Genomic DNA, 12,270 nt, shown 5'->3' on the forward strand with positions numbered 1-12,270 from the left:
TTAAAATTAATACATGTTTAATTAAATGTCTACAGATGTGGTATTATACCAACTAGCCAAGCATAGCCCAGATCAATTCTTACTTAGGTATAATGAATAAATTCAAGTTAAAAAACAAAATGAATAATTTACTCTTCACAAAATTCAAAATTATAACAAACTTAAAAAAAAATTCTGCTGCAGTAAATAGTATTTAATGCAAGAGCTGTGTTATTATACGTGTCATGACCAGGGTGGACATTGGGCCTGTGAAGGCCTCAGAAAGGCTCCACTGGCCTTCCAGGACAATGTCCCTCTTGGTCACAGCAGTGGCTGTGGATGAAGGAGGCTGCAGCTGCCCTCTGGGTGGAGCTGGGTCTCTCAATGCAGGGGGCTGGGGCATGGCTGGGACTGGGGGCATTTGCCATCAGCAGCTGTGGTCTCAGGAACTACTGGAGATGGCGAAGGACAAGGCAGTCCCTCTGGCTACACACAGGAGACCAAAACCCCATCTGTCCTCTTCTCTGCCTGAGCAAGGAGAACAACGCATTCAGCTGTGGGCTCCAGAAACTGCCTCTGGCTGCTGCTGTGTGGAGAAGGGGCTCCATGGAGCGAGCCCAAGGGCAGAAAGATCAGGGAGGTGGTCGTAGCAGGGTCCAGTGAGAGGTGATGGTGGTCTGGCCTGCAGCACGGGTAGTGGAGACACAGAAAAGAAGATGGATTTGAGAGATGTGTCTGAGGCGGAAATAATGGGACTTTGTAAAGGACAGAGAGTGTGAGGTGGAGGAGAAGGAAGAGGCTTGGATGATGTCAGAGTCCTGGGTTGGGGTAGGGGCAGGCGGTGATGCCCACAGGAGCCAGGGAATGAGGAGGGGCACATGTTTGGTATATGCTGATGTCAGTTTGGGATGTGGTGGGCCTGAAGGGCTTGTGAGACATCCAGGGGAAATGGTCCAGGAGGCAAAGTGGTGTGTTGGCTTCACAAGGTGGACCCAAGGTGAGGGCACAGATGAGGACACTCCCCAGGTCAGACAGAGCACAGGCCTAATTCAGTGGAGGCCCAGAGGGCAGAGCCCTTTCCACCCTGGGCCTTCACCTTCTGCGCCTTCCATTTACATCATCCACAAACCTCCCTGGATGTTCAGTTTGGTGGGGAATGAGGCTTGAATGTGGCACCGGTGGGAAGGGTTCCCCACTTTGAGTTCTGTGGGTTTCTACTTTTACCTGGTGGGTGTGGTGGGGTCATAGCAAGCCTCATGAAGAAAGTGGGGTTTGAGGTCAGGAGTTCGAGACCAGCCTGGCCAGGAAGTGGAGTTTGAATTCTTTCTCAAAGGTGGGCCAGTGGTGCATATGGGAGATGACAATGTTAGGCACAGAGAGAAGAGCACAGATGATTGTCATGGCTGTTGAAGAGAATGAAAGAAAAGACAAATTTTAGAACCAAGACATCATGAGCCCCTGTGAGGTACTGTCTTCACTTCCCATGGCAGGTACAACAAATAACCACAAACCAAGTGGTTTGAAACAATTCACATTGATTCTCTGAAGGTCTGGAGGTCGAAAGTCTGAAACAGTTTCACAGGGCTAAGGTCAAGGTATCAGCAAGCCTGGTTCTTCTGGAGGCTCTAAGGGAAGCCTTTGTTTTCTTGCCTCTTTTAGTCTCTAGGGGCTGCCATATTCCTTGGCTGAGGCCCCTTCTTCCATGTTCAAAGTACATCAGATTGGTGAGGACCTTCTCCTGTGACCCTGACCCTCTGCATCGCTCTTATAAGGACGGTGTGATTACACCAGGCACATCCAGCTCCTGCAGGCTAATCCATGATGATTTCAAACTTCTTCATGTAGTCACACCTGCAAAATCCCTCTTGCCATACTAAGTATCTTTCCCAGGTCCTGGGGATTCAAACATGAACATCTTTGGGGGCTTTATCCAGCTGACCACAGGCACCAGCACAGTCATCATCACCAGGGCATGGAGAGCCACATTCAGCCCAGGACCATGTCTAACCCAAGGCCCAGGCTTCATTGCCACTCCAGGCTGACTCTCCTTTTCTTTTTTGAGACGGAGCCTCGCTATGTCGCCAGGCTGGAGTGCAGTGGCGGGAGCTCAGCTCACTGCAACCTTCACCCTCCCTGGTTCAAATGATTCTCCAGCCTCAGCCTCCCAAGTAGCTGGGATTACAAGCGCGAGCCACCACACCTGGCTAGTTTTTGTATTTTTTAGTAGAGACAGGGTTTCACCGTATTGGCCAAGCTGGTCTCCAACTCCTGACATCGTGATCTGCCTGCCTCCGCCTCCCACAGTGCTGGGATTACAGGCCTGAGCCACCACGCCCAGTCTCCAGGCTGACTCTCTAGCAATTCCTGGACAGAATGGCCACAGCTCCTGAGCTGAGGACTTGTCTAGTTTTGCATTAAATTGTATCCCAGTAGTTAGATAAACAAGGCTGGGAATGTCTGGGTTGAACCCAGCTAAATGGGCTCCTTACAGCAGGACTTCTCAGAGCCTTTACCCCATGCTGGATACTGTGACACTCTAAACTTCATTCACCATGGAACCTTTACGAGATAACAACATTTCAAACAGAACACAGTTTGAGCAGTGCTGCATAGGCCAGGCTACTGCATGGGGTGTTCAGCCAGAAGAAAAGAAACCTCAGAAGAGCAGGCACTCCCTTCAGCTCTCAGAAGGGCTATAGTGGGAAGAGACAGCCTTAGTTCCAAGTTCCTTTATTCAACAAGCACACCTGGGTGCTGAGGACAGATTGGTGAATTACATAAACCTGTTTCCTGCCCTAAAGGAGTTTACCATCTATTGTAATAGATAAGGGCTGTGGAGAAATAGACAGGGTACAAAGAGAGGAAATAGGGTGTTCAGAGAAGGTGTCATTTAAACCAAGACCTGGGCTGGGTGCGCTGGCCCACGCCTGTAATCCCAGCACTTTGGGAAGCTGAGGTGGATCACCTGAGGTCAAGAGTTCAAGACCAGCCTGGCCAACATGGTGAAATGCTGTCTCTACTAAAAATACTAAAAAAAAAAAAAAAAAAAAAATTAGCTGGGTGTGGTGGCATGCACCTGTAGTCCCAGCTACTCAGGAGGCCGAGGCAGGAGAACTGCTTGAACCCAGGAGGCAGAGGTTGCTGTGAGCCGAGATCGTGCCATTGCACTCCAGCCTGAGTGACAGAGTGAGACTCCGTCTCAAAACAAAACAAAACAAAAAACCAAGACCTGAAGGAGGACTCGGCAGCACACAGAGTGAGGGGAATGGGCACTCCAGGCCAAAGGAACAGCATGAGCAAAGGCCCTCAGGTGGCTGGCAAAGAATATGGCCTAGTTGAGGAATCAGAAGGATGAAAGGAAGGCAGTGTGGTTAAAACCCAGTGGACATGGATGGAGAAGAGGAGAGGCTTGCTGGGAGAAGGTGCTGGAAATACTAGGTTACACAGGCACTTTGGGCCACAGTGAATAGTTGAAAGTCAGCATATACGTGTTAAGCGAGAAACTGCATAATTAAAACACACAAACACAGACACACAGAACAGTAACAAGCCCATTGTTTGGAGAATAGACAGGGAGAGGCTAGAGGGCAATATTGCATCTGCTGTTTCCACAGTGTCCAGGACAGTTCCTGGTAAGCAGCATGTGCTCATCAATGATTTGTTGAATGAATAAATCAATAAGAGAGGTAGGAGGCTGGGTGCGGTGGCTCAGGCCTGTAATCCGAGCACTTTGGGAGGCTGAGGCAGAAGGATCATTTGAGGTCAAGGGTTCGAGACCAGGTTGGCCAACATAGTGAAAACCCGTCTCTACCAAAAAGACAAATAATTAGCCAGGTGTGATGGCCCACACCTGTAGTCCCAGCTACTCAGGAGGCTGAGGCAAGAGAACCGCTTGAACCCACAAGGTGGAGATTGCAGTGAGCCGAGATGGAGCCACTGTACTCCAGCCTGGGTGACAAAGCGAGACCCTGTCCCCCCGCCCCAAAAAAGAGGTAGAAACATTAGCATGAAGGCTATTGCAGAAGTCCCTGCAGTTGAGGGTGACTTGGAGATGGAAAATGGATGGGAAGAAGCGGTTGCATTCAAGGTATATTTTGGAACTAGAAGCAACAGGACCTGTTCATGGGTTGAAGGTGAAGGTGTAAGGTAAGGGAGGAATCTAGAATGTTTCCTGGGTTTCTGCCTTGAGTAACTGGCTGGAGGATGATGTCATTTCCTGTGAAGGGGAAGATTGGGAGAGATTAAGGGATATAGTCCTGGGTGACCAGGAAGAGAAGCAAGATGCCACCCCTGAACATGTTGGGTTTGAGGTGCCTCGGAGCTACCCAAGTGAAGATACCCAGTTGGCAGTCTGGAGCCCAGAGAAGGGTGAGGGGTGGAGATCTAAACTTGGGAGGCATCGTGCGCAGATGGGTTTTAAAACCATGTCATGAGCAAGATCACCCGGGGAGAGAGGGCAAATAAAGAGAGAAGAAGGCCAGGAACTAGGTGGGTTCAAAACAGTCTTATTAAAACAAACAAACGAAAAAAGAAAGCAGATGAAGAAAGGGGGCGTTACTGTGGTGAGCTGGAGCGATTTGTTTAATACCTCTGAGTTTGTTTCCTCCTCCGTCAAATGAGATAATAATTCCTTCTCATTGGACACACTCCAAAGCTTGCCTGACCACGGACGGGGGCTCAACCGCTGATGGAGTCCGAGCAAAGCTCAGAATTCTCCATCCTGACAAGTCCTGGAGAGGGACAGACTTAACTCTCCTCCAGCCAAAGGCAGCAGGACTAGAGCCTTTAGCCACCTCGGTGGGTGATCCTCCTTATAGCTCGGGCCCTTGCCATGCTTCTCCCGAGCCTGAGCCCGCCCCACGCTGGGCACCAAGTCCACCTTGTCCGCAGCTTCTCAGAATGACCACCAGAGGGCGCAGTTCCTCACCGCGGGCGCTTGCCTGCCTCCTCCCCGCTGCCTCCTCTCCTCCCTCTCATTCCCCTCCTACTGCGCCTCCGCTGGATCCTTCATCCTAACGTCCCTCCCACTTGCCCTGCACGAGGCTCTGTGTCTAACATTGAGGACATGGGGTCCCGGAGCCTGAGGATTTCATGGGCTGGGCAACAAAGGAGAACAGTTATAATCGTGGAGGGAGAGTATGATGAAGGGGAAAGTAAGGGCTGGGGTAAAGAGGCCCAAATTAAACCTAAATTCTGCCGCCTATTAACTGCGAGACCTTAGATACACGGCTTCACTTCCCAGAGCCTGGCGGGACTAACCTATGTTGGAGGGTTGTTGTGAGAGGTACATGACATGTCAGTTTGTATATGTGCCGGCTAGTGATTCTAACAGCATCCACCTCAGAAGGCTGCTTTGAGAATTAAATGAAATAATACACATAGGTTGCCTATTTAATAGTAGACACTCAAAAATCCTAGCTCTTTAAGAAGTATTAATATAAAGAACAACTCACAGTAGGCCCTTAACGCTAGTTCTTTCCCCTATAATTCTATCCCCATCCCTAGTCTGTGGATTTGGAAACAGGCCCAGAGAGGGTCTGTGCTTCCTCAAGGTCACCTAAGGAATGAGAAGCAGAACCGGTACCTGTCATTCTTCTGTGCCCGGCCTAAAGCCAGTAGCACAGACAGAAATCCCGGGTCCTTAGGGCCAAACTGTCAAAAAAAAAAAAAAGTCCTCTTCATTCTTTGCTAAGGGCAAGAGGCCACCAGGGCAGGCCAGGCCTTGCCAGCAGAGGTGGGCACTCAGCACCCAGTGGCTAATGGGGTCCTCTGTATGGCACCCACCAGCAGCACTTGGCTTTGGTCGCAGGTTCATTTGGTTATTTCTTGTTAGATGAATCAGCCTGCTGGCTGAGAGCTCTGAGGCATTCAAGACCTTTAAAAACTGGGCCTAGTGAGGAGCACCTCTGCCCAGCCGCCCCACCATCTGGGAAGTGAGGAGCCCCTCTGCCCGTTCACCACGCAACCCTCCAGGTTCCCCTGAACCCAACATGTTCAAGGGTGGACTTTTGCTTCTCTTCCTGGTCACCCAGGACTATATCCCTTGATCTCTCCCAATCTTCCCCTTCAGAGGAAATGACTTCTGTGTGATCTTTCTGCCCTTCCCAAGTTTGCATTTTTGACATTAAAGTTTACTTTTAAATTAAAAAAAATAAAAAATAAAAAATAAAAACTGGGCCTAATATAATTCCTAATTTTTAGTTCCATGCTTGTCTTCTCCCACTCCTCCACCACTTTATGTTCCAGATACTTTCATTCATCCATTCATGCATGCATGCATGCATGCATTCATTCATTCAATACATTCTCTAATATATGCCAGACCAGAAGGTCTTGCCAGGAGGTCTACAAATAATCTATAGTTAACATCATGCTTAATGATGAGAAACTGGATCCTTTCCCCTTAAGCTTGGGAACCAGGCGAGGATGTTGTCTCTTACCATCTAGTGCAATAAAACAAACGAATAAAAAGAAATAAAAGTTATACAGATTGGGAAGGAAGAAATAAAACTCTTTACTCACAGGTGACGTCGCCGTCTATGTAAAAAAAACCCCAAAGAATCTACAAAAAGTCTCCTGGAACTAGGAAGTTGCCGAGACCAGCTTGGTGGGAGAGACCCTAACCCAGCAGCGCTGGAGGAATTAAAGACATACACACAGAAATATAGAGGTGTGGAGTGGGAAATCAGGTGTCTCACAGCCTTCAGAGCTGACAGCCTCGAAAAGAGATTTACCCACGTATTTATTAACAGCAAGCCAGTGATAAGCATTGTTTCTATAGATTATAGATTAACTTAAAGTATTCCTCAGGGAAACAAAGGGATGGGCCAAAATAAAGGGATGGGTTTGGCTAGTTATCTGCAGCAGGAGCATGTCCTTAAGGCACAGATGGCTCATGCTATTGTTTGTGATTTAAGAACGTCTTTAAGCGGTTATCTGCCCTGGGTGGGCCAGGTGTTCCTTGCTCTCATTCCGGTAAACCCACAACCTTTGTCACGGCCATCACGAACATGTCACAGTGCTGCAGAGATTTTGTTTATGGCCAGTTTTGGGGCCAGTTTATGGCCCGATTTTGGGGGCCTATTCCCAACAGAAGTAAAAATGGCAAGGTCCCAGGACACAAGATCAATATATACAAAAGTTAATTCCTCTTTATTTAATTTATACATTTAATGCAACCCCAACAAAAACATCAATAAACTTTTTTTTTTTGTGGAACTAGACATGTTGATACTGAGCCTCATATGGAAGACGCTGTCTTTAATGTTTTCCTGGCTAATCCTTCATACCTATTTTTCCATATAATGCTCAGTATCAACTTGTTTAGTTCCATTAAAAAGTTGATTAGTGGCCGGACACAGTGGCTCATGCCTGTAATCCTAGCACTTTGGGAGGCTGAGGTGGGCAGATCATGAGGTCAGGAGTTCGAGACCAGCCTGGCCAATATGGTGAAACCCCATCTCTACTAAAAAATATAAAAATTAGCTGGGTGTGGTGCTGCGCACCTGTATTCCCAGCCACTCAGGAGACTGAGGCAGGAGAATTGCTGGAACCCAGGAGGCGGAGGTTGCGGTGAGCCAAGATCACGCCACTGCACTCCAGCCTGGGTGACAGAGCGAGACTCCATCTCAAAATAAAAATTTATTGGTGTTCTTACTGGGATTGCATTAAATTTATAAATTAAATAAGAAGGAACTTATATTTTTATGATGTTGAGACATCCTAAACAGGAACAAGTGATGTCTTTTCGTTTATTTTACTTCTACTTGAGCATCTTCCAGGAGTGTTGTAAAGTTCTTCTTATATAGCTTTTGCATATTTCTTATTACGTTTATTCCTAAGTAGTTCATCTTCTTTGTTACTATATAAATAGAGTTTTCTCCTTCATTATATTCCCTAACTAGACATTGCTTGTGTATACTGAGGTTATTAATTTTTGTATGTTAATTTTATATCCTGCTATTTCACTGAATTTTCCGTTATCTGGATTAATTTTACCATTCATTCTCTAGGGTTTTCGGGGTATGCAATCATATCATCTGCAAGGGATAAATTTACTCCTTTTCCCCCAAATTCTTGTTTCCTATTGATTTCTCTGACTGCTTTGCCTAATATCTCCAGTACAACATAGAATAGTAGAGGGCCTCTTTGTTTTTTCCTGCACTTAGCAGAAACACTTCCAGTATTTCCCCATTCAAATTCTAGCTTTAACAGGAGTTTGAGACACACCTGGCCAACACGGTGAAACCCCGTCTCTACTAAAAATACAAAAATTAGCCGGGTGTGGTGGCACATGCCTGTAATCCCAGCTACTTGGGAGGCTGAGGCAGGAGAATCGCTTGAATCCAGGAGGCGGAGGTTGCAGTGAGCCGAGATCACGCCACTGCACTCCAGGCTGGCGACAGAGCAAGGCTCCGTCTCAAAAAAAAAAAATCTAGCTTTAGGAACAAGGTATGTATATTTTATTATATTGAGAAAACACCCATTCATTTCACTCTGTGTTGAGTTTTGTCAACAGCTTCTCCAGCATCTATGGAGATACTAATATGATTTTCTCCTTAAATTGATTAATCCTTTGTATTATATTAATGGCTTCCTTAATCCTACCTGTTCATGGTGTATGGCAACATGATGTTGGATTCCATCTTCTAGTATTTTCTAATATAAGATCTCTAATATTTTATTTAAATATTTTGCATCAATTCTCATAAATTATTTGATAAATATGTACTCTTCTTTTTTGCTCTGCTTTTTTTAATTGAGTATAAATATCAATGTTATATTTGCTGTGTAAGAAAGAAATTGGAAATTTTTCTTGAATTTAAGACCTTTGAATCAATTTATGGAGCACTGGGGCTATCTAATCTTTCCAGATTTGCTAAACTTCACCTGTGAAACTGTCTGTGCCTGGTGCTTTTTTTGTGGGATAATTTCTTGATAACTTTCTCTGAGTCTATTATGGAAGTTAACCTGTTTAAGTATTTCTATCTTTAATTGGTTCAGTTTAGTTTACAGCTTGTTTGTATAGAAGTTTACAAAGTAGTTCTAGTTTCTTATGATTTTTAGAAATTTCTTTTGTTTCAATATTTCATTCATTCTCCTTTTTTATTTTTTGTACATGTGTGATTTATCTCTTTTTGTGATAACATTAACTAGTAGTGTATTTTTAATGTAATCTATTAATTATATCTTTGTTTTCTCATCTCTATCACTAATTTCTGCTTTTGTATTTATTACTTTCTTCCTTGGGCTTTCTTTTGAGTTTCTTTGTTATTCTTTTTCTAGATTTTATAACCTAGGAATTTAATTCATTCATTCTTAATCTTTCATTTTTATTTATATATGCATTTCCTCAAAATGAGTTCCATTCAGCGAATTCCAATATTCCAAGAAAAATGTTTTTGAAATTTAAGATGACTATATAATGTATATATAATGTAATAATGTAATGTGTGTATAATGTATATAGAATTTATATGTATTCATGGAACATATATGTATTATATGTATATATATATATATAATGTATATGTAATGTATATCAATGTAGCCTGGACACTTACACTAAACCTCCACTCCAGTAACACCCATAGATTGCCTCTCCTAAGACACATGTGACACCTAAAACATAAGGACACTTTATGTTGGATGACTACAGTCTTAACACCCTGGTCCCATCCGTCACGGCCTCCTTAATATTATGTAAGTTGCTGATTCTATTCAACCAACAAGTGGTAAATACTTTGCTCTTATATATTTGGCTAACCTTGTCTGTTTAGTGCCTATTCCAACAGCCTCTCAGCTTCTGTTTGCCTCCACTGCTGAGGGGACACAATACACCTTTCCAGGGTACCCATGGGGGACCTTCACAGCTTTGTCACCACACACAATCTTTGCAGACAAGATCTTAATGACAACTGCCTTCCCCAGGGGCACAGATATGACATTGCATTGAGGACGTCCTACTCCAAAGAAATGCATTTGATACACACATTGAAGACATTTAACCCCAATATTTCTTAATACTTTTGGGCTCTGGTGGCAACATATTTCTCATTGACAAATTTTATTGCTAAATTAAAATCAACAGGCACTCCTGTGTGTGATCTCAAAAGGCTCCTTCACTGTAAACCTTTGGCAAGCTCCCGTAATGTCTCCTGGAGTCTCTGGATCACTTATGATAGTCATTAGTTGCTTTAGGGCTTCTGATGCAAGATCTTGTCCCTCTTGGCCTCAGGCTATACACCATTAAAACAGCAAATGACTGGCTACCTATGAACTGTCTTGGACATAGAGGCTCTCACAGACCCTGAGCCTGTGACCCTCCATACCCAGTTGTCCATTATGCTTTGAGGTATGGAAACATCACCCCACAAGCTCAGCTTGGCTACCAAGGCCTCCCTAAGACAGGATGGAGCCAACTGGGCCCTCTGGGATATTCCATCTGCAGGAGAGGGTGGCCTCCTCATTCTCTCGGTCCTTTGCCAGATGCCAGGGTGCTGGAAGAGGTCACCCCTCCCCAGGCCCCTTGGCTACCTGGGAAGCCCTTTGGTGTTAACTGAGTGAACAGGAATGGGAGTTCATGGACTGTAGGAACGGCATCGTTAGCCATCACACGTGATGCAGCTTAGTGGAGAGCTGTTCCTTTCCATCCCTTAGCCAGGATGATGAAGGACAGGACCCAAGAAAAAACACACTTGGTCAAACTTCAGGAAGTCATCCTAGCCCTGGCTGTCCTGGCTAACAAATGGTCTCATCTTCACATTCATTATTAATTATTGGGCCATTACCTAAAAATTGTTCCCATCAAGGTAAAAAGCAAATAAACCCCGGGAATCTCTTATTTCACAGACATCAAATTATAAATCAAAATCACATAACTCCATGTTGCAAGGCCTTGCTAGTTCACTGCTTGTTTCTTTCAGAGTTAGAGACATTACTAATAGCTATGAAGGCACACATTTCACTCCTTAGAATACACCACTATGCTGGGCTTCCAGAGGAGGCATCCAATATAAACTTCATGTCCCTGATAGGTCCCAATGGTTGCTCTAATGATGTCCTCAAACAACTTCTTTTCAAATTCCAATACAATAAATACACTAAAGATCTTGAGTTTACCCCAGGTCTTAACCTATTCTTTATAAATTTCAATCTCTCCCCCATCCCTCAAGGGTTAGGGGCCAGATTAAAGATGCATATACTCCTGGGACTCATAACCATAGATTGTTCCTTAGATCAGGCAGCTAGCTGCCCCTCTGATAGGGGACCCATTTGAACCCAAGCTTCCACGCAAAACAAACCCTGTCAGGTGCAGCCGCACACTGTCCTGTTGTTGGTTGGTCTTATCACTACTGCCTTGCCTGCTTCACTGGTTACAATCAGAGGCCCAAAACCTTCAGCAGACCACCGTTTTAACCTCAGCAATTATGACAAGTGCTGAGGCCCACGTTAACTCGAGTAGGTCCCCATGAAAAGGACACACCTGTCCCACATCTCAGATGACATTACCTTTGCCTTATAATTCACCTCTGAAGGTGACATTGCCTCAGATGACACATCTGAACCCAAGACCTTGATGTTGGAGATAGCTTTGCCCCTGGTGCCACAGACGGCTTCACTTCTTACACTAAACCTCTACTCCAGTGATGCCCATGGACTGGCTCTGCTAACACACAAATGGACAGTGTGTAGTTTTGCTTTTCTTTCTGTACTGACTGCCTGCTTAGCTCCTGATCTTGGTATACTCCTTGCTCTCTGCTCAAAGGTACACTGCCACACAGCTCTATACCTCAACAAAACTCTAGCCTGGTGAAAGCCAATCTAGAAGCAATGGCACAACAGATAACAAGTATTTTATAACCTTACCCGGGTTCACAACAACCTTCCTACTTTGCCCTAGGTGAAGGGTTGCTCTATTCACTTGGCTCAACCCCACACAGTGGAGTGGATGCCTGTGAGTGGAGTTTAAGGTCACAGTGGTGCCTCCACATTGTTTGTGTGTTCAGTGATGCTCATCAAATGCCTTGCTCCATGCCTGGCCCACATTTCTCCAGTAGCCTTCAATGTCTCCACTATTTAAGCAGTAGTCGTCACCAAACACAAGGTCATATGCCCAGGCATCACAGGGTCAGTTGTAACAGGAACACACAGAAAAGGTTGCTGTCTAGTCATAGAAATAGACTGGCACACCCAAATGTCTCAAACGGGGGGCCAGAGTTCAGAACTTAGAGGCATCTCTCCAGCCCAGCCCAATGGGCTTTCTGCTTTGCCACTGATTCCTTTAAAGGG

At 45.2% G+C, this 12,270-nt stretch overlaps 1 long non-coding RNA gene across 1 annotated transcript in view; it reads right to left on the reverse strand.

The window, feature by feature from the left end:
* Positions 1-12,270, reverse strand: part of LOC105369392 (uncharacterized) — a 16,728-nt gene continuing 4,458 nt past the window's right edge. The window contains exons 2-3 of the long non-coding RNA XR_950316.4: positions 1,204-1,382; positions 1-661 (exon numbers count right to left, since the gene is read on the reverse strand). This is a non-coding gene — a long non-coding RNA (uncharacterized LOC105369392). The remainder of the gene's footprint in view (positions 662-1,203; positions 1,383-12,270) is intronic.

Source organism: Homo sapiens, chromosome 11, assembly GCF_000001405.40.
Source record: "Homo sapiens chromosome 11, GRCh38.p14 Primary Assembly".
NCBI classification, from domain to species: Eukaryota; Metazoa; Chordata; class Mammalia; order Primates; family Hominidae; genus Homo; species Homo sapiens.